General features: G+C 45.7%; 2 protein-coding genes, 1 long non-coding RNA gene and 1 other non-coding gene across 23 annotated transcripts in view, besides 3 other annotated features; 2 read left to right on the plus strand and 2 right to left on the minus strand.

Annotated features, from left to right (window-relative positions):
* Nucleotides 1-18,845, plus strand: DDX55 (DEAD-box helicase 55). Of its 19 annotated transcripts, none has more exons than NR_135104.2 (14): nucleotides 1-158; nucleotides 3,833-3,883; nucleotides 3,975-4,061; nucleotides 5,334-5,425; nucleotides 5,502-5,564; nucleotides 6,582-6,731; nucleotides 7,841-8,030; nucleotides 11,072-11,154; nucleotides 13,087-13,218; nucleotides 14,413-14,505; nucleotides 15,660-15,774; nucleotides 16,499-16,739; nucleotides 17,334-17,626; nucleotides 17,866-18,845. NR_135104.2 is itself a non-coding variant. In NM_020936.3 (14 exons), the coding sequence occupies exons 1-14, from the start codon at nucleotides 51-53 to the stop codon at nucleotides 18,040-18,042; spliced, it is 1,803 nt and encodes a 600-aa protein (NP_065987.1). In that variant the 5' UTR covers nucleotides 1-50; the 3' UTR covers nucleotides 18,043-18,845. The 19 variants fall into 19 exon arrangements, 17 of the variants coding, with proteins under 17 accessions (NP_065987.1, XP_047285177.1, XP_047285178.1 ...); NR_135105.2 differs by having other exon boundaries at nucleotides 16,571-16,739; nucleotides 17,350-17,626; NM_020936.3 differs by having other exon boundaries at nucleotides 16,571-16,739.
* Nucleotides 363-472: a silencer, noted in NCBI's record as "silent region_5048". NCBI's record gives its function as "represses an Ori minimal core promoter by ATAC-STARR-seq in GM12878 lymphoblastoid cells {active_cell/tissue: GM12878}" and the evidence as "EXISTENCE:reporter gene assay evidence [ECO:0000049][PMID:35858748]".
* Nucleotides 713-762: an enhancer, noted in NCBI's record as "active region_7272". NCBI's record gives its function as "activates an Ori minimal core promoter by ATAC-STARR-seq in GM12878 lymphoblastoid cells {active_cell/tissue: GM12878}" and the evidence as "EXISTENCE:reporter gene assay evidence [ECO:0000049][PMID:35858748]".
* Nucleotides 11,023-15,664, minus strand: LOC105370041 (uncharacterized). 2 transcript variants are annotated; one of them, XR_945475.3, is made up of 3 exons: nucleotides 15,214-15,664; nucleotides 14,287-14,408; nucleotides 11,023-11,867 (listed from the first exon to the last, which is right to left on the minus strand). It is a non-coding gene; the product is annotated as an uncharacterized LOC105370041 (long non-coding RNA). The 2 variants fall into 2 exon arrangements; XR_007063504.1 differs by having other exon boundaries at nucleotides 14,287-14,549.
* On the plus strand, nucleotides 14,612-14,742 carry SNORA9B (small nucleolar RNA, H/ACA box 9B). The gene has a single exon (NR_145743.1). It is a non-coding gene; the product is annotated as a small nucleolar RNA, H/ACA box 9B (small nucleolar RNA).
* EIF2B1 (eukaryotic translation initiation factor 2B subunit alpha) overlaps nucleotides 18,308-21,165 on the minus strand; it is a 13,281-nt gene continuing 10,423 nt past the window's right edge. The window contains exons 8-9 of the mRNA NM_001414.4: nucleotides 20,538-20,663; nucleotides 18,308-19,822 (exon numbers count right to left, since the gene is read on the minus strand). Of these exons, the coding sequence (NP_001405.1) occupies nucleotides 19,658-19,822; nucleotides 20,538-20,663 (291 nt within the window). The 3' untranslated portion in view covers nucleotides 18,308-19,657. The remainder of the gene's footprint in view (nucleotides 19,823-20,537; nucleotides 20,664-21,165) is intronic.
* Nucleotides 19,279-20,478: an enhancer, noted in NCBI's record as "CDK7 strongly-dependent group 2 enhancer chr12:124105924-124107123 (GRCh37/hg19 assembly coordinates)". NCBI's record gives its function as "activates an origin of replication core promoter dependent on BRD2, BRD4, P300/CBP, MED14 and CDK7 cofactors, with strong dependence on CDK7, by STARR-seq in HCT116 cells {active_cell/tissue: HCT116}" and the evidence as "EXISTENCE:reporter gene assay evidence [ECO:0000049][PMID:35650434]".

Consider the following 21,165-nt stretch of genomic DNA (forward strand, 5'->3'; position numbering starts at 1 on the left):
GCACAAGGCGCGTTCGAGCAGCGGCGACCGACGCGGCGAAGGAGCGCGCCATGGAGCATGTGACAGAGGGCTCCTGGGAGTCGCTGCCTGTGCCGCTGCACCCGCAGGTGCTGGGCGCGCTGCGGGAGCTGGGCTTCCCGTACATGACGCCGGTGCAGGTATCGGTTCCCTGGCGTGGGGGAGTGAGGCTGGGAGAGGGGCAGGCACCCGCTGCATCGGACCCACAGGAGGTGATCGGACAGATCTGAGCCCTGGGGCGCTCATCCCTCCAGCTGGGGCTCTTGCCTTGTCTCCAGCTGCCCAGACTGGCGGAATGCGGAGCTGCCCGGCCAGCGAGCCGGCAGAGGGGCCGCGACCCACCCCGCCCTCGGGTGCTGTGGTCTCAAGCCTGGTTCTCATCCTGGCCCTGCTCGCTGTAGCTGTGAGACCTCGGGCAAATGGCTTAACCTCTCCGTGCTTCATTTTCCTTCTCTGTGAAATGACGAAAAAATAACACCCTCCTTATGGGGTTGCTGTGGGGACTAAATAAACCAGTCGGCACACTATGGGAGCTCAGTAAGGGTTACCGTTGTTATGCATCTCTTCAAGAATATTTCTTGAGGACCTGCTATGTGTCAGGAACTCTTCTAGGCTCTGGGGAGTTTGCAGTATTGGCATCTGCTCATAGCCTTACTTTCTAGTGCAAGAGCTAGAGAAAGGATAATTTCAGCTGCTGGTAAGTGTTATGAAAGAACTAAGACGGTTGTGATAGTGTCGCGCGAGGACTGCAGAGGAGGTGAGATAGGGTGTTAAGGAAGGCCTCTCTGAGGAGGTGCATTGAGCTGAGACCTCAGTGATTGAGAAGGAGCTGGCTCTGAGGTGACTAGGGGGAGATTATTCCACTGGAGAGAAATACCAGTGCACATAAATGCCCTGCGGCAGGCTGCAAATAGTTTGAGCAGCAGAAAGGAGGCCTTTGTGGCTGAACATCAAGAGTAGTGTAAGAGATGGATTGTGCAGGGTCTTGTAGGCGCTTGGATTTCATTCTAAATGTAGTGGGAAGCCATCTTATCTGGGAGGATGTTTAGGAAGGGAAGGGCTGTGATTTCTCTGTAGAGAGTGGCCTTTCCAGGCATAAGAGATGAAGCAGGCAGGTCGCTTAGGAGGCCATTGTCAGGTAAGAGATGATGGTGACTTGGAGTAGGGTGGAACCAGTGGATACTGAGAAGTCACATTTGGGATAGCTTTAAGGTTGCTAAGGGACTGGAAGTGGAGGTTAGGAAAGAAAAGACTACAGGACCTGAGGTTTTTATTCTTTTTTTTTTTTTTTTTGAGATGGAGTCTCGCTCTGTTGCCCAGGCTGGAGTGCAGTGGCGCGATCTCGGCTCACTGCAACCTCCGCCTCCTGGGTTCAAGCAATTCTCTGCCTGAACCTCCCAAGTAGCTGAGATCACAGGTGCCTGCCACCATGCCCGGCTAATTTTTTGTATTTTTAGTAGATACGGGGTTTCACCATCTCGGCCAGGTTGGTCTTGAACTCCTGACCTCCTGATCCACCCGCCTTGGCCTCCCAAAGTGCTGGGATTACAGGCTGAGCTACCGCACCCGGCTGATTTTTATTAGTAGCTGAGTGAATGGTGTTACCATTTCCCAAGAATGACTGGCGTGCGTATCAGGTTTCAGAGGGAAAGTCAAGAGTTCTTTTTTTTGTTTTTTGTTTGTTTGTTTGTTTTTAACTTTTTTGAGACGGAATCTTTCTCTGTTGCCCAGGTTGGAGTGCAATGACACGATCTCGGCTCACTGCAACTTCTGCCTCCCGGGTTCAAGCTATTCTCCCATCTCAGCCTTCCAAGTAGCTGGGGTTACAGGCATACACCACCACGCCTGGCTAATTTTTGTGTTTTTAGTAGAGACGGGATTTCGCCATGTTGGCCAGACTGGTCTTGAACTCCTGACCTCAGGTACGCCCGCCTTGGCCTCCCAAAGTGCTGGGATTACAGGAGTGAGCCACTGCGCCTGACCACAAGAGTCCTGTTTTTAAACACTGAGCTGGGTACAGTGGCACCCGCCTGTAGTACCATTTGTTTGGAAGGCTGAGGTGGGAGGATCCCTTGAGCCCAGGAGTTCAAGACCAGCCTGAGCAACATAGTGAGACCCGCATCTTCGAAATTAAAATAAATAATGGCCGGGCACGGTGGCTCACGCCTGTAATCCTAGCACTTTTGGAGACCAAGGTGGGAGGATCACTTGAGATCAGGAGTTCAAGACCAGCCTGGGCAACATAGGGAGGCCCTGTCATCACAAAAATTTTTTTTAAATAAATGAAGTCTTGAGTTTGAGATGCCCATAAGATTCCCGGGAATGTGGAGAATGTATTTCCAGCAGGCAGGGCTGGAGATGAAAACTGGGAGTGCTATGTGCCCTGCCTAGGGAATGTAGTGCGAGCAAGACCCAATCTCTGGCCTCAGAGCTCATTGTCTAGACCTGTCATCCACTACACAGTCATCAGACATGGCTATCAAGTGCTTGAAATACACTTTGTCCAAATCAAAGTGTACTCTGAGTATCAAATAACACACTAGATTTTGAAGACCTAGTATGAAAAAAGAATGGAAAATGCTGATTTTTAAATATTGACTAAATGTGAAGGGACAATATTTTTGATATATTGGGTTAAATAAAATATTAAAATTTATTTCACCCATTTCTTTTTACTTTTCTTACTATGGCTATTAGAAAATTTAAAATTGTTTATGTGGTTCACATTTTATTTCTATTGGACAGCAATGGCCTGAAGCAGGGTCCTCACTGTTGGCACTATTGACATTTTGTGCTGGAAAATTTTTTGTTATGGGGCTGTCCTGGGCATTGTAGGATGTTTAACAACATCACTGGAATCTGTCCATCAGAGGACATCACCTCCCAACCCTGGTTGTATTTTATTTATTTATTTATTTATTGAGGCAGGGTTTTGCTCTGTTACCCGGGCTGGAGTGCAGTGGCACAGTCACAGCTCACAGTAGCCTCGACCTCCCTGGGCCTAGGTGATCCTCTTACCTTAGCCTCCTGAGTAGCTGGGACTGCAGGCATGCACCACCACACCCACATAATTAAAAAAATTTTCTTTGTAGAGACAGAGTCTCCCTGTGTTGCCTGGCTGGTCTGGAATTCCTGGCCTTAAGGGATCTACCCACCTGGGCCTCCCAAAGTGCTGTGATTATAGATGTGAGCCACCACGCCTGGCCCACCCTGGGTTTTGACAACCAAAAATGTCTCCTTACATTGTCAAATGTTCCCTCAGGGGTTGAGCAGGGGGATAGCAATCACTGTGTAGAGGCAGTTAGAATAATATTACACCTGCTGTGATTTAAGTGAGCTCAGGCCCTGGGGACCAGGGCTGAATCCTGGAGGGAGCAGCCTCCAGGCCAAGGCCTGAATCTAATTGAGGTTTTTTTTGATTGCTAAAACCAGGTTTCTTTTAAAGTCTGGCAACCTCTACAGTGCTTAAAATGAGAGGGTTTATTTGAATCATGATTCTGTGATACTAGAGCTGGAAGGGACCCTAAAACCCAATGTCTTCAACGCCTTCCTGGTTCAGAGAGGAAAGTAGGAGCGACAGGGCTAGAATTCAGGACTCCCACCTCCCAGCTCAGCTCACTGTCCCCACACGCCGTCCACATAGACACAGTTGCCACGTTTGATTCAACTTCTCTATGGTGACTTGGTTACTCAGAGCCCCTTTTGTGGTGGGACCCACTGTGACCTTAGCTGCCCATTATGTTCCTAGGGCTTCGGGTCTCACCTGTGAATTGATGGCATCCTTTAACCAGTGCTTTGCAATCTCTCTCTTTAGTCCGCAACCATCCCTCTGTTCATGCGAAACAAAGATGTCGCTGCAGAAGCGGTGAGTGCCTCGGGTATGTGCAGCCTGTCCTCGTGTTCTCCCTCAGATGAACTCTGAGGAAGAAAGGGAAACCAAAACTCTCTGTTTGCAGGTCACAGGTAGTGGCAAAACACTCGCTTTTGTCATCCCCATCCTGGAAATTCTTCTGAGAAGAGAAGAGAAGTTAAAAAAGAGTCAGGTGAGGACAACAAAAGTGATTTATTTTCACCTAGTCATCAGAGAGTTCACATTGGATTAAGAAGCTGGCTACAAATGTGAAAAAATAGGCCAGAAGCCGTGGCTCACGCCTGTAATCCCAGCACTTTGGGAGACTGAGTCTGGAGGATCACTGGAGTCCAGGAGTTTGAGACCAGCCTGGGCAACACAGTGAGACTTCATCTCTACAAATAATGAATGAATGAAACTTGAAAAAAAAAGACAGTTAATCCTCATTATTTGTGGATTCTGTATTTGTGAATTTGCCTGCTCGTTAAAATTTAGAACACCCCAGTGGATCCTCGGTGCTTCTGTGGTCATGGGCGTGGGCAGAGCTGCCTTTGTTTTCACTGCTCAGGTGTAAACAGTGTCCTTTTCGTCATTTATTTAGTGCCATGTTTTTTACCTTTTTTTTTTTTTTCTTTTTTCCCTGAGACAGGGTTTTGCTCTGTCACCCAGGCTGGAGTGCAGTGGTGTGATCTCATCTCACTGCAACCTCCACCTCCCAGGCTTAAGCTGTCCTCCTGCCTCAGCCTTCCAAGTAGCTGGGACTACAGGTGTGGACCATCATGTCTGGGTCATTTTTTGTATTTTTTGACATGTTACCCAGGCTGGTCTTAAACTCCTGGGCTCAAGTGATCCTTCCGCCTCGGCCTCCCAAAGTGCTGGGATTACAGGTGTGAGCTACCGCGCCCGGCCATTTTGCACATTTTTGTGCTTTATGTTGGTGATTTTGGTTTTTGAAATGGCCCCGTGATGTAGTGCAGTCTAGTGTTCCTGGGTGCAAGAAGGTTATGACGTGCAGAGAAAATCCCTGTGCTAGAGAAGCACAAGCTAAGGCATGAGTTAATGTGCTGTTGGCCACGAGTTCAATGAGAATGAATCAATAGTATATGTTAAATAGAGTCTTTTAAGCACAAACAGACATAAAATAGGTTTATGTATTGATTGGTTGACAAAAATGTCATGCCCAAAGACTGGCAGGAACCTAACCCTGTGTTTCCCCTGTGAGCAGTGGTTCAGCATTGACTAATTCACTGTTCTTCATGACTTGAAAGAGCATAACTGCAGTATATGATGACGAGTAACCGTAATTCAAAGTAGTTGATATGTGCTCAGAGATGCTGCTGAGAAAGTCTGGGAACTACTGTTTCTCTGGAACTTTCCTTTGTGTGGTAGAGGGCGGAGGGCCTATGAGTTCCTCTCTGGGAGTCCCTTGTGCTGCTGACTGTGTCCCTTCCTTCCATGTGGGTAGGTTGGAGCCATAATCATCACCCCCACTCGAGAGCTGGCCATTCAAATAGACGAGGTCCTGTCGCATTTCACGAAGCACTTCCCCGAGTTCAGGTGAATTGGATGCAGTGTCCCTGTTAGTCATGGGCTGTTTTGTCGAACTTAATCAAAGGCTGTTTTCTTGTTGTAGCCAGATTCTTTGGATCGGAGGCAGGAATCCTGGAGAAGATGTTGAGAGGTTTAAGCAACAAGGGTGAGTTTGCTCGTGTCTGCTTGTTTCTTTGCTTGCTTTTGGCATTGAACCTAAGAATCGATGTGTGATCTCAGCCTAACTGTGGGTCCCCCTTTCAGCAGCCTCCTCCCCCTGCAAAAAGGTGTTTTCTCCAGGCCAGCTTCCCATTGTGCTTTGCTGGCTCCTTCCCATAAGGCCCTGATGAGAACTTCACAAACTCAGGTTCTTACAGAGGTCAAGAGAACGACGTGAAGATAAATGAGTGGTCAGGGGCTGGGGGATGGTGAGGAACTGGCCAGCAGCTGCCTTGAATACTCAGCTCCAGCTGGTAGTTGCCTGGGAGGACTCGGCTCAGTAGTGGCAGGTTTTGAATTTTTTAAAAAGAAGATGGAATTCCAGATTTGTGTGTGTAATCTCCTGATTTTTTAACTGTTGGCGTGTAATCCACATTTGAAAAACATATCTTGTAGGTGAGCCAGTCTGAGGGAGCCACATCTGGCCCTGAGTCTGCCAGTTTGTGATCTTTACATAGGATTCTCTAATTCTGTCAACATTTCCATTTTACAAGTGAGTTACCTGGGACCTACAATGGTTGAGTAACTTGCGTAAGTCAGAGGTTGGTAAGCTTTTTTTTTATAAAGGAGCAGATGGTAAATGTTTTCGGCTTTGTGAACCATATGGTCTCCATCGCACTTACTCAACTGCTGTTGTAGTGTGAAGGCAGCGATAGACAACATGTGAATAAATGGGCGTGGTTTTCTGCCAATAAAATACTTGGCAAGGACAGGCAGCAGCCCAGGTTTGGTCCGGGAGCTGGAGTTTGCCAACCTTGCCTAGGTCATAGCCCAGAACCCAGATCCCGTCTCACCACAGCCCTCAGTCTTTCTACCCTGCAGCACTCTTCTACTCTCATGCTCTTCGTTCTCTTCACTAGGGCTTAAATGACTTTGGGGGGATATAAAACTTGGTATTTTGGTAATCATCAACCACATTCCCAAGATCCAGAGAGTTTGGTAAATGTTAACTTTCTTTCCAAAGTGGGAACATCATTGTGGCCACTCCAGGCCGCTTGGAGGACATGTTCCGGAGGAAGGCCGAAGGCTTGGATCTGGCCAGCTGTGTGCGATCCCTGGATGTCCTGGTGTTGGATGAGGCAGACAGACTTCTGGACATGGGGTTTGAGGCAAGGTACTGGACTTTGGACTTCACTGGCTTGAGTGGGCAGATGATACTAATACAAAAGGGGAGCAAAATGGAGTTTACTGTTTCATGACTAGGTATTTTTATTTTTTATTTTCATTTTTATTTATTTTTTATTTATTTGTTTATTAGAGACAGGGTCTTGTGCTGTCACCCAGGCTGGAGTGCAGTGGTGTGATTATGTTCACTGCAGCCTCAACCTCTCGGGCTCAGATGATCCTCCTGCATCAGCCTCCCGGGTAGCTGGGATTACAGGTGCACACCACCATGCCTGGATGGTTTTTTTATTTTTTGCAGATGAGGTTTTGCCATGTTGCCCAGTCTGTTCTCAAACTCCTGGACTTAAGTGATCCTCCTACCTAGGGTACCCAAAGTGCTAGGATTACAGGTGCCAGCCACCATGCCTGGCCTAAGTATTTTTATTAACCACATTTTAATTTCAAATCATTAAGTAGTTTGAGCTTTCAAATTCTACCACGTGATTTTATTCCAGTTCTATCTTTGATCTTAAAATGCACTTTCCTTCAAGTTTTTTTTTTTTTTTTTTTTTTGAGACAGGGTCTCACTCTGTCATCCAGGCTAGAATGCAGTGGCATGATTTCGGGTCATTGCGACCTTTACTTCCTGGGCTTAAGTGATCCTCCCACCTCAGCCTCCTGAGTCATCTGGGACTACAGGCACATGCCATCATGCTTTTTTTTTTTAATTTTTGGCAGAGACAAGATCCCATTATGTTGCCCAGGTTGGTCTCAAACTCCTGGGCTCAAGAGATCTTCCCATCCCAGTCTCCCGAAGTGCTGGGATTACAAGCATGAGCCATCACACCTGGCAGTTTTGTTGTTTTTTAATAAACAGCTTTATGGGATATAATTCACATATCATTATAATTGTATGCTAAAATTTGAGGAACCTTGGAAAAATGAAAGTATAAAGAAGAAACAAAGAATCACCTATAATCTCACCTCCCAGTGTATGTGCTATAAATATTTTGATGGCTTCACTTTCAGTCTTTTTGAATACCTGTTTAGTATCGTGAAGCACTGTGTGTTGATTCTGCTGGCAAGTGAGCGGTTAAGTGTGAGCCCTCTTTTTATCAGCATCAACACCATTCTGGAGTTTTTGCCAAAGCAGAGGAGAACAGGCCTTTTCTCTGCCACTCAGACGCAGGAAGTGGAGAACCTGGTGAGAGCGGGCCTCCGGAACCCTGTCCGGGTCTCAGTGAAGGAGAAGGGCGTGGCAGCCAGCAGTGCCCAGAAGACCCCCTCCCGCCTGGAAAACTACTACATGGTAAGCGCCTGGGCTTGCTTCTTACTCAGCGATAATGACCAGTGCTCATTTTATGGAAATTGTACTGGTAGAATAAATATGTGAGACCCTGTAGCACCTATGAAATGCATTTGGGGACAGAGCTAGCTAGGGCAAATGGCCTGAGTGGTCCTACTCATTGAATGAATAAGTTAAATTGGACATAAATGTATTTTAAGCACAGTCTCTAAGGACAGAGTCTCTGAACCTCCTACCCTCAAGTGACCAAATGTTTCTATTGTACATGCTTGGGGTGTGCTGGGTGCAGCCATGACTAAGCTCTGTAGTTCCTGGGCCCGTCAGAACAGCCTGTCTGACAGAGAAGGGCATAGTTAGATGTGCAGGTGGAACACAGAAAATCAAATGACAGACTCACTCCTAAGGAGACTTTGTGGGGTGGAAATGTTCTGCTCCGTAAATGTTGTGTATTTTTGACCTGCATCAAATATGCTGAGTTTCTTTTTTTTTTTTTTTTTTTTTTTTGAGACAGAGTCTGGCTCTGTCGCCCAGGCTGGAGTGCAGTGGCGCGATCTCAGCTCACTGCAAGCTCCGCCTCCTGGGTTCATGCCATTCTCCTGCCTCAGCCTCCCGAATAGCTGGGACTACAGGCGCCCGCCACCACGCCCGGCTAATTTTTTGTTAGCCCTGTTAGCCAGGATGGTCTCCATCTCCTGACCTGGTGATCCACCTGCCTCGGCCTCCCAAAGTGCTGGGATTACAGGTGTGAGCCACCGCGCCCGGCCGTTTTTTTTTGTTTGTTTTTTTTTGTTTTGAGACGGGGTCTCACCCTGTCACCCAGGCTGGAGTGCAATGGCACGATCTCGGCTCACTGCAACCTCTGCCTCCTGGTTCAAGCAATTCTTCTGCCTCAGTCTCCCGAGTAGCTGGGATTACAGGCATGTGCCACCATGCCCAGCTAATTTTTTGTATCTTTAGTAGAGGTGGGGTTTCACCACATTGGACAGGCTGGTCTTGAACTCCTGACCTCATGATCCTCCTGCCTCAGCCTCCCAAAGTGCTGGGATTACAAGAATGAGCCATCATGCCTGGCCCAAATATGCTGAATTTCTAGTAGTAAATACTGGCTGCTGGCTTCTGTAGTTTCTTCACAAAGAAGTAGATGGGCTTTTGGCAACTTGATTGTTTAGTAATGAGGCCACTCCTCACCCCTGTTCTGTTCTGTCCCATTGCTGGGATGGGCCAGGAGGCACAAATGTAGAGAGCACAGGCTGCAGGGGAGGCAGCACCATCAGGGCGAGGAGGCACCCACAGGCCAGTGCCACTGCTGACGGTACACTGGCCCACCAGCCCGGGGCTGGGGCTTTTCTTTCTCTTTTGCAATAAGCTTTCTCAGGTTAAATTTTTCGTTAGGCCTGGAGGGGTTCCCTAGCTCCTGAACATGTCTGCTGTTCAAAATGAAGGAGGCTGGTCTCGAAACCAGAATGTTCCTATTGCTGCAGACTGTGAGGTTGTCGAGGCTGCTCTCCGGTTTGTGTCAATTTGTAGGCAGATTAAAGGTAGAATGAGTTTGCAAATGAGAAACTGCACCTAGTGTAACTGGAGAGTGTTGTCAAAATCAGATAGGCTCATCAGAAGTGGGAGTTGTAGTTGCCATTGATGTTTCTGACAAGCTGGACTGGGTGAGGGAGGAGGCTAGCTCTTCCCAAGCAGAGGGAAGGACTCTGCATAGGGTAGTGTGGAGAGCATGGGCGCTAGAGCAGGACTGCCTGGTGCATATCTTGGCTTTGGCCCCTACCAGATTTAACCGATGAACTTAGAGGTCCTTACTTGTCAAATGGGGGCCACAGTAGTATACAGCTTCGTAGGGTTGCTGCAGGATTAATTAATTAATCCATGCAAAAATGTTCATGATAGTGCTTAGTACACAATAAGTATGGGTTGAGCATTCCTAACTTGAAATTCCAAAATCCAAAATCCTCCAAAATCTGAAGCTTTTTTGAGTGCCAACATGATGCTGAGAGGAAATACTCGGAGCATTTTGGATTTCGGATTTCCAGATTAGGGATGCTCAGCTGGTAAGTATAGTGCAGCTATTCCAAAATCTGAAAAAATTCAAAAGCCAAAAAACACTTCGGGTCCTAAGGACCTTGGATGAGGGATACTTGTACTACTGTTAGCTTTGGACACACTGTGGCTACTGTTGCATTCTGTTATTTTGCATTCGTTTTGCATTTAGAGATGGCTGAGTACATGAGAAAAAATTCCAAACTGGGGATTTGGTTTTGGTAAAAATAGGATGAATGCATTCAGGTGAATTTAATGTCTCTAATTTGGGAGTTTGAATGGAGGACTTGATTGCATTATGAAGAAAAGCAGTGGGGTCTGCGTCCATGGAGGCCTTTTAAATAATGATGTACATTGCTTTCTGGAAATCAGTATTCACCTTAGAGCAGTGACTTCTGAACTTGGCATCAGAATTTCCTGGGGGAACTCTTAAATAATAGGGATTCTTAGGTTCAATCTCAGACCTACTGAATCAGAATCTGTATGTCGTACCCAAGAATCTGCATTTAAAAAAAAAAAATCTATCCTTTGGCTGGGCGAGGTGGCTCACGCCTGTAATCCCAGCACTTTAGAGTTGAGGTGGGAGGATCGCCGGATGCCAGGCCAGGAGTTCGATACCAGTCTGGGCAACATATTGAGAGTCTGTCTCTTGAAAAAAAAAAAAGAAGAAAAAAAAAGGTAAATAAATAAAAATCTACCCTGGAGATGGTGTAATGGCTGGCATGTATATTGGGATTGGGAGTTGGGAACTGTTGCCTGTTGGATGACTGTGTTTCTCTGAGCTATATGATTTTGTGACATACAAATTAACTTTTACAGGCAGCAGCACATGTTGATATTTATTCTGAGCTAGGTAGACCAGTTAACATTCCGACTAAAGTCTGTCCTACCCATGGGGGAAATGACATTCCTTAAAATTTAATGCTGAAACTGAAAATAGCCATGGGGATTATTATTGCCAAATATGTTTTTTATTAGTTTCCCTTTTTATTTTGCAGGTATGCAAGGCAGATGAGAAATTTAATCAGCTGGTCCATTTTCTTCGCAATCATAAGCAGGAGAAACACCTGGTCTTCTTCAGGTACTCCTCTGGTCTCTGTGGTAGAGGCATCAGGGATTCAGCCAGAATGTGCAGGTGCATGCGGCCTTTGGGTTTTGGATTCCATCTAGCATGGTTCTCTCCGGAATGCTTTTGGCTGCAAATAACTGAAAACCCAACTTTTGTTGTCCGAACAAGGTTGGCTTTATTTTTCTCCCGTAAAAAGTCGTCCAAAGGCAGGCAGTTTCTCACATGGGTTTCATGTGTCAGTCATGTCAAGGTCAATGTTGATGTGATTGGTCTTCTCTTCCTATGTGTCACCTCATGGATTCTGGATGACCACTATTACACCCTGTCATGTCTCCACTGAAGAAAGATAAGGGGGGAAAGGCAGAGGGGGCTTAGGGCAATGTTAGCTATATCCATGCCTTTTAATCAGGAGAGCAAAGAGCTTCTTCAGAAACCCCTCTGCCCTAGTTGACTTCAGCTGTGAATTCATCTTAGGGGCCAAAAGTGGGTCACGTGGTGGCCCCTCACTTCAAGAGCAGCAGAGAAAATGAGTGCGCAGCTTTTCTGCCTCTGTAGTAGTGGCCAGTGAAGCAAGAAGTGGTTGGGAATAGTGTTTATCAGCCACCCATGGAGTCCGCCACAGTGGGGTTTTGTCCTGTGGTCAGAAGGCAGCGTAGGGACAGATGCATATGTTCTTTGGACTGGTTGGTTCTTTTCCCCTTTTCTCCAGAGATAAATGTGTTGATCTTTAGTAGTACATAAAAAATAATTTTATATTTATTTATATATTTATATTTATAATTTCTTTTCTATCTGTTATCCTACAAATAAAATGCAATATTGACCATGACCCACAGTAAGAAGTACAATTTGGTACACACCCAAACAAGACAATAAAACAAAGGTTTTCATGAAACTGCACCCTGCTAGGTGGGATGTTTTCTATTCTGTTCTACTCCAGCTGTTAATTTTTTTAAAATGCTGGTCGAGACCCACTAAATTGATTTCAGAACCCACCAGGTCTGTGGGTTGTGAGGCTTAGTGTGTGAAACACCACTTCATTACATACTATGTGACTCAAGGTGGAAAAGAGCGGTCACAGCACAGGTGGAGGGACTGAAGTAGACAAGAGTTAGCCCAAACTGGAATGCAGTAGTGCAGTAGTCTGGTCTAGTGGGAGGAGCATTAGACCTGGGTTCTGGTTCTGCCACTTACTCTGTGTCTCTGGTAAGTTTTAGTTCCCTCATCTGCAAAAGGATGGGAAGTCACTTGGGAATGCTTCCAGTTAAGGAAAAGGGTCCAGGGTGAACTTTATTAGAAGGGTGCCGGGTAAGGAGCTCACAGATTCAGAGAATGTTGAGTGTCCAGCTCCCAGGGAAGGAGGCTCCCTGGCAGGAGTTCATGGGCCATCTCTTTAGGGCATATCTTTATTGGGATGACTGCCAACCCCTTTTTGTCTTTGGATGACTCAGCTCCAAGTCCCAAATATCTGGGAGAAGGGATCTGACTGGCCTAGCTTGGGTTATTTGCTGAGCCCTTGGGAATCCTGCTAATTGGGAAAGAAGCAGTTCCCTAAACGGAAAGCAGAAATGTTTTTAAATCTTGTAACACTATTTGTGGCTAAGATGTCATTGCTTTTGTTCTGAATGACTGTTTCACTTTAATTCCTTTCTCGGGGTCAGGGAGATTTCCCGTGAGAACATCTTTAGACAGTAAAATATGTCCTTGGGGGTTTTAATTCATGTTTAAGGGATTTTGTCAAAAGATTGGCCTTTCATTGGCTGAGAGGATTACAGATTGAGAACTCAGTTGTGGATGATTTCCACTGCCATTTTCCTTGTCATTCCCCTAGGGAGGGCTTGTAGTTAGGTTGCGTCTGCTGCAGCTATTGCTCACTGTTCCCCTCTCCCGGTTGTAGAAGGACCAAAGTGGCCAATGACTCTAAGCCCTCTGTCCCTCTTGCAGCACCTGTGCCTGTGTGGAATACTATGGGAAGGCTCTGGAAGTGCTGGTGAAGGGCGTGAAGATTATGTGCATTCACGGAAAGATGAAATATAAACGCAATAAGATCTTCATGGAGTTCCGCAAATTGCAAAGGTGGGTGGGCTTCATTGAAGGTAGCAGCTCTCCTGCCACACTGCTCTTTCAGGTCCCCAAATGCCCCATTCTCTAGTAGCCTGTGCTGTCCGCATGTGTTGTCTTTCCTGCCTGGAACCCTCTTCCCTCTCTAATCTGGTTATCACATCTCTGTAAACACCCCGAGCCTCCATTGCCCTGTTCCAATTGCTTTGCCTTTTGCTATGTCATTTCCCTAGTTACTGAACTTCTGTGCTAGACAGCAGGCTCCGTGACACAGGAGTCCTGTGTATTGTCTTCACTCCCAGATTGCCCTGTGCCCGGTCCAGGGAAAGGTTGTGATGACTGTCAAGCAGCAAGGAGCAAATCCATTTGTCCTGTCTGGGTAGAAACTGTCTGTGGCTTAAGGCCGGACACGGTGGCTCACGCCTGTAATCCCAGCACTTTGGGAGGCCGAGGCGGGTGGATCACGAGGTCAGGAGATCAAGACCATCCTGGCTAACGTGGTGAAACCCTGTCTCTACTAAAAACAAAAAATTAGTCGGGCATGGTGGCTGGCGCCTGTAGTCCCAGCTACTCCAGAGGCTGAGGCAGGAGAATGGTGTGAACCCAGGAGGCGGAGCTTGCAGTGAGCCGAGACTGCGCCAGTGCACTCCAGCCTGGGTGACAGAGTGAGACTCCATCTCAAAAACAAACAAACAAAGAAACAAAAAAACAAAAAACTGTCTGTGGCTTATTAGGCTTGTGACTATACAGCAGGCAACTTGTGTCTACCAATGACCATAACTTGTATCTGCTTGTGCTGACAAATAATAGTTTTCTGTTTTTCTTAATCATTGAACATCTGACTATATTAAAAGTCTTCTTTTGGACAAAGTGATATACCTGACTGCTAGGCCTCAGTTATGGAGTGAATTGTCCGTTGTTTTTCAGATGGCTACAAAGGATTAGACCCATACAGTTTTGGTTTTCAAATGGCAGTGCTGTAATTTTTAAAATCCCTTTGCTGTCTCTCACCTCCCTCCAATTTTTATTGGAATTTATGAAGTCCCAGAGATTTGTAGAAAGAAGAAAAAATCAAAATATTACCTTAAACATTTGCTTCTGTGAGAAGCTCCAGCACCTGTGTGTCACTGTCATCGAGATCAGTAGGCTGTTTGATGGTGATGAAGATGGTGGCCTCCTTACTCAGAATGCTTTTTTCTCATTTCCTAGTGGGATTTTAGTGTGCACTGATGTGATGGCCCGGGGAATTGATATTCCTGAAGTCAACTGGGTTTTGCAGTATGACCCTCCCAGCAATGCAAGGTATGGTACGAGGCTGCCACCCACTCTCTGTTGAGGAATTTAGCCTAATAAAGGAGGAATCCCGAAGAAGATAAACAGATAATGATGTTCACTGAAACATTTTATAGCAAGCCTCCAGCGTGCTTGGGTCTGCAGTGACCCCGTGGATTCCTACAGGGCTTGCCAGAACAGTTTTGAAATGGTTTGAGGCCTTGCCGTGCTCCATGTAGAGCAAGGTTATAGAAATTTCAGACAATGAGAGAAAACAAAAAACAACAACATTATTTGAGGCTGGGCGCGGTGGCTCACGCCTGTAATTCCAGCACTTTGGGGAGGCCGAGGCAGGTGAATCGTTTGAGCCCAGGAATTCACCAGCTTGGGCAACAGGACAAAACCCTGTCTCTACAAAAAATATATATACAGATTAGCCAGGCGTGTGTTCCTGTAGTCCCAGCTACTTGAGAGGCTGAGGCAGGAGAATCGCTTGAGCGCAGGAGGCAGAGGTGGCAATGGATTGTGCCACTTCACTCCAGCCTGGGCAACAGTGTGAGACTCTGTCTCAAAACAAAAACCCGTTGTTTTAAGTAGCAAAAATAGGCAAATGGATGAATAACCCATTCATGGTGAAATCGTGATACTGTATTGGTAGCAATTAAAAGTACTTTCAAATATTATCAGTTCTTGCAGAAACACACAATAGAATGTCTAAATGAAAAAAGCAATACATACCACCACATGTGAAAATTACAATTACTTTCTTCAAAGTCAGCATATATTCCTAATACATGCTTCCACGCATAGGAAAATGCCTATAAACCCCCAAGTGTTGATGATTACTCCTGAGGTTATTGGTCATTTTCATTTTATTCTTTGTATTTTTCATTGTTTCCCAGATTTTCCACTGGGGACTATGTCCCACCTGTATGATCAGAGAGAAAGATACAAGTTTTACTTAAGAGTTCACATTAAATGTTTCTTACAGAATCGTATCTGTTTGCAGTGTTGGTTTAATTGCCAGTTCTATTTCTCACACTAGTAAGTGGCCGAGTCCACACTGAGCTGTGGAGGCTAGAGGCTCCCCAGAGCGTTTTAGCTGCAGCAGCCATGTGGCTGGAGCCTGAGCTCTGTTCAGCTGTCATCACCTGGGTACCCATTTCCACCCTGTGTTCTCACAGTGCCTTCGTGCATCGCTGCGGTCGCACAGCTCGCATTGGCCACGGGGGCAGCGCTCTGGTGTTCCTCCTGCCCATGGAAGAGTCATACATCAATTTCCTTGCAATTAACCAAAAAGTAAGCTGCCGTCCGTTTTCAGATAGAATGCCTAGTGACGGGGTAGCTGGAAAAGTTCTCCAGCATGTGGTCAGCAATTGAAATTACGAATTGCAAACTCACTGGGGCTGGGCTGGTGGTGGCAGTGGGGGGCCCTGGTGGGGTTTTTTTTTTTTTTTTTTGAGACGGAGTTTCACTCTTGTTGCCCAGGCTGGAGTGCAATGGCACTATCTCGGTTCACCGCAACCTCCACCTCCCGGGTTCAATGGATTCTCCTGCCTCAGCCTCCCAAGTAGCTGGGATTACAGGCATGCGCCACCCCAGCTAATTTTGTATTTTTAGTAGAGATGGGGTTTCTCCATGTTGGTCAGGCTGGTCTTGAACTCCCGACCTCAGGTGATCCGCCCACCTCGGCCTCCCAAAGTGCTGGGATGACAGGCGTGAGCCACCGTGCCCGGCCACCCTGGTGGGCTTTAAGGCTGTGGAGGCACCTCGGTCATGGAGTGACCAAGTCTCCTGTGTGGTAGCATGCCCTGCTGGGACCCAGGCAAGGGTTACTTCTTGTGAATAGAGACCCAGTGTTGCCATACTTTGCTACCAGATTAGGATTGTCATGTGAAATCTGATTTTTAAATTTTCTTTTAAAAATTTAACATACTTTACAGAGCATGTGAAATATTTGGGTTGGAGTTGGGCTTCAGACCTCAACAGTTGAAAAGGAATTGTTTCGCTTTTGTTTTTCTTGGTTGTGATGGGGAGCCCTGGGGATATGATGCCAGCCAGGGAAGGTGAGAATGTGGTATGTGTGTGTGTGTAGTGCCCCCTGCAGGAGATGAAGCCCCAGAGAAACACAGCGGACCTTCTGCCAAAACTCAAGTCCATGGCCCTGGCTGACAGAGCTGTGTTTGAAAAGGGCATGAAAGCTTTTGTGTCATATGTCCAAGCTTATGCAAAGCATGAATGCAACCTGATTTTCAGATTAAAGGGTAAGTTGGACTTCTTCATGTGATAATGTCTCCATCTTAACTATGTGGTGGTCTTACAAGTATGAGATTGCTTTGTCTCATAAAAGGAAGTGTTCCCAGGTTTTGAGTAGACACAGAATAAACTGGCCACTGGCTGCTGAGTATTCCTTTTAACTTTGTAAAAATGTAATTTTTTTAATTTTTGAGACAGAGTCGCGCTTTGTCACCCAGCCTGGAGCGCAGTGGCGCGATCTCGGCTCACTGTAAGCTCTGCCTCCCAGGTTCACGCCATTCTCCTGTCTCAGCCTCCCGAGTAGCTGGGACTACAGGCGCCCGCCACCACGCCCAGCTAATTTTTTGTATTTTTTAGTAGAGACGGGGTTTCACCGTGTTAGCCAGGATGGTCTCGATCTCCTGACCTCGTGATCCGCCCACCTCGGCCTCGCAAAGTGCTGGGATTACAGGCGTGAGCCACTGCACCCGGCCTCAATTATTTTCATTCTAACTAAAATGAATGCATTAAACCCTTTGGTTAGAAAAAAATTATATTGTAAGCCATTACTGATTGTTCTAATCCTGTTGAGTGCGCTAACTCTGATCTTCTGATTGAATCAGATCTTGATTTTGCCAGCCTTGCTCGAGGTTTTGCCCTGCTGAGGATGCCCAAGATGCCAGAATTGAGAGGAAAGCAGTTTCCAGATTTTGTGCCCGTGGACGTTAATACCGACACGATTCCATTTAAAGATAAAATCAGAGAAAAGCAGAGGCAGAAACTCCTGGAGCAACAAAGAAGAGAGAAAACAGAAAATGAAGGGAGAAGAAAATTCATAAAAAATAAAGCTTGGTCAAAGCAGAAGGCCAAAAAAGAAAAGAAGAAAAAAATGAATGAGAAAAGGAAAAGGGAAGAGGTAAAGTTTACTTTTACTTACATTAACTTAGAATCTTGAACAAATTTATTGTAGTAGTTCTTTAAATAGGAATTGTGTGGGGCTGTCAGATTTCTGTTACGTTGGCGACCAGGGTGGGGAATTTGCTCTATTTGCAGAAGCCAATCTGAGAGCTTATAGTTCTTGAGTTAAAACTGCTGGTTTCACTACAACACTATTGCTGAAAAATTTAGTAGTTTATTGGTTTCTTCTGCACTTAGGGTTCTGATATTGAAGATGAGGACATGGAAGAACTTCTTAATGACACAAGACTCTTGAAAAAACTTAAGAAAGGCAAAATAACTGAAGAAGAATTTGAGAAGGGCTTGTTGACAACTGGCAAAAGAACAATCAAGACAGTGGATTTAGGGATCTCAGATTTGGAAGATGACTGCTGATTCCAGTGCCACAGATGAACCCACAAGGACATAGCTGTTCCCTAACTTGGTGGATGGCTCCAGTTTGCTTTTAACGAAAATCACAACTTCAGGAGACATCTGAAAAGAATGATGTCTCTGAAAGCTGTCCTTTCAGATGAGGGAGAAATGAAGGATTTCACACTTCAGAATATTTTACTAAAAACATTCCAGTCTTGGCCGGGTGCGGTGGCTCCTGCCTATAATCCCAGCACTTTGGGAGGCTGAGGCAGGAGGATCACTTGAGCCCAGGAGTTCAAGACCAGCCTGGGAACACAGCGAGACCCTCTCATTAAAAACAACAAAACAAAACAATTCCAGTCTTGGAGTAGTCTAACAGAAGAAAATGTAAAATTATTTGAGTGTAAATAATAGATGTCAGTATTTATCATGATGGGTCACATATAGACATATGTACATATTATATATATATATATATATATATATATATATATATATATATATATATAAGCTCTTTTTTCTGAGGCTATTTTATAGTTATTTTTAAACATAAAGATACAGAAGTCTTCTTGACTTCTGATTTTCAAAACCATTCCTCAGTATCTTCAGGCATTTGACCTCCTGAATGTGCTTGGCCCTGGGCTTCAGTTATCCTTTGATGTCCTGCAGGGGTGGCTAATGTGCTGGGGTTTTTCTGTGTTAATAGTCACAGTATTGTTTTATTGGTGAATAGCTGAAAAACAGAGGGATTAAGTCATATTCCGGGAAAGAGAATTATAGTTTTTATGCCTCCTGTTGAATAAATGGTGTCCTGATTGCCTGGGTCTTAAGTGTGTAAATGTAGCTGGACAGTGTTTTCCCCTAGATGGCCTGGTCAGCTTGCAGTATTGATGCAACACCACATCAGCGTCTTTCATAGAGTTTATTTGAAAAGATGCTGAATTTATTCCCAAGTATAATTTTAAAAAGCTGTTTAGGACCCAAACATATTTAAACATCTCTTACACATACAGAATTTCAGTTTACAAATATTCCAGAAGGCATTTTCTTAAGCAGTGAACCATGCAGAATACTGTTGCTAAACATCGTTTCTGCCTTCCTCGTGTTCTCTTGGTAGTTTTTACTGTTTGGCTTGATCCTGCTGAGGAATGTGCTTACCACTGGAAGCCAGATGCAGATTCAGCAAGTGTTTCTTGCCTCTTACAAGGCACCGCGTGTAACGTCCTGACCAGCTGTTGGTCATTTGTGGCAGAGGGGTGTGGCTGCTTTTCGCCTGCATCTCGCGTGCTTTAGGCAGATCAGTCTGGAGTGCAGGGGAGGATGAAGACAGGTGGACTTGGGCTCATCTTTCATCAGTTAAGTAGCCAATTATCTAACTTGTATTTCTGGAAACTGAAAAGGAAAGTTTCTAGAAACCGTAAGAACAATTTAAGTTGGGATTTAGAATAGCTGACACATTTTTAGATGGGACTGAAATGAGTAAGAAAGGTTCTCCAAGATGTATGATTTTAAGTCCTTACTCCATAAATCTTCATTAAACACATCTCAGTTTTGGCCTGACTCACTGGGGTGTCAAGCAGCTACTCACCCTGCCTCAACTACGTAAGCTGCACCTTGGCAGGAAAGGGCTCACAGGTTACAGATAGAGCTTGATGAGCTCATCGCTGACTGCTGAGGGTGTCAGCACGCCCAGGTCTGTAAACAGCAGAGTGATTAAGGAAGGGGCAGTGTAGTCGACCCACGGATGCTCCTCTTTGAGGTCTTGTCCAGTCTGCGCGACCTTGAGAGTGTCTGCCTTATACTGAGGAGAGAAGTACACATTAGTCGGCACTGAATATTTAGTGCTCTGACCTGGTAGGGCCTTGGTGTGAGTGATCAGTGTGCTACTTCCTGAGACTGCTCTCTGAAAATGGGAGAAACTAAGCTATGCAGGACACTAGAGACGAGGGCAGAGTTGTGGCCATGAGCCAGATCATGGCAGTGTGCTGGCTGAGAGCTGTAGTGTAACAAACTTAAATCCCATGTCCCCTCATTCTCATGCCGGATTAACTTCTCCAGACCTCTCAAGGGAAGATCGAGAGTCACAATAGAGAGCTTGCAGCGTGCCAGGGACTGTGCTAAGATTATCTTAGAATCCTCATGACCCTGTCAGATACTGCTATGCCATTTTACAGACAAGAAAACCGGTTCAGAGGTTGAAATGAAAGGACTTGCCTCAACTCGCACAGTTTGTAAGTTGTGGTGATGGGAGCTGAGCTCAGTTAAGCCCAAAGCTGGGACTTACCCACCAGCTTCGGGCTTCCTCTCCACCCATCTATGGTGCTACTTAAAGAGACTGAAAGACTGAAGTTCTAGGGACAAATGTGTGAGTCCAATCACCAATTTATCTTTGTATTCCAAGTGTTGGGGAAAGTAGCAATAGGAAGTGAAAAAATTACTGGAACATTCTTAGGACTACAATTTCCAAAGGTTTCTGTTTAGACTTTAGTACCCCTTCAAATATGTAAAACTCTTGCCTTAAACTTATCTGGGACGTCTTGCTGGTTTAGTGGAAAGAGCCGGACAAACTTGAAACTTTCTGCAACCACATAGAAAGGTTTGTTCTGTGCTTTGGCACACACAGCCATCTGGTTGGTTCCAATCTGGGAAGGCAGAAAATGGAATGGATGAGCTCTAGAGTGCATCTGAAGTAGAAGCCACAGAAAAGCGGGCCGGGCACAGTGGTGCATGCCTGTATTCCAGCATTTTGGGAGGCCGAGGTGGGTGGATCACCTGAACCCATGAGTTTGGGACCAGCCTAGGCAACACGGTGAGACCTCGTCTCAATTACAATAAAGGAACAATTAAAAAACAGCAATAGAAAGTTATGTATATAATATAGATATACATATATCTAATACATATATTAGATATATCTAATTCTGACTTTGGAATCAAAAAAATAAATGTTTCTCAAAGGATATAGAAACAGCCACTAGAGGCTGGATGTGGTGGCTCACGCCTGTAATCCCAGCACTTTGGGAGGCCGAGGTGGGTGGATCACCTGAGGTCAGGAGTTTGAGACCAGCTGGCCAATATAGGGAAACCCCATCTCTACTAAAAATACAAAAAATTAGCTGGGCATGGTGGGATGGGGGGTGCCTG

The sequence above is a fragment of the Homo sapiens genome, chromosome 12 (assembly GCF_000001405.40).
Source record: "Homo sapiens chromosome 12, GRCh38.p14 Primary Assembly".
Classification (NCBI taxonomy): domain Eukaryota; kingdom Metazoa; phylum Chordata; class Mammalia; order Primates; family Hominidae; genus Homo; species Homo sapiens.

What these genes read in the sequence shown, in the direction of transcription:
- DDX55 (XM_017019710.2), top strand. Translation starts at nt 51, where the DNA reads ATGGAGCATGTGACAGAGGGCTCCTGGGAGTCGCTGCCTGTGCCGCTG. An exon ending in GAGTTCCGCAAATTGCAAAG is followed by an intron (nt 13,219 to 14,412) that starts GTGGGTGGGCTT and finishes CTCATTTCCTAG; the next exon opens with TGGGATTTTAGTGTGCACTG. An exon ending in TCCTTGCAATTAACCAAAAA is followed by an intron (nt 15,775 to 16,570) that starts GTAAGCTGCCGT and finishes GTGTGTGTGTAG; the next exon opens with TGCCCCCTGCAGGAGATGAA.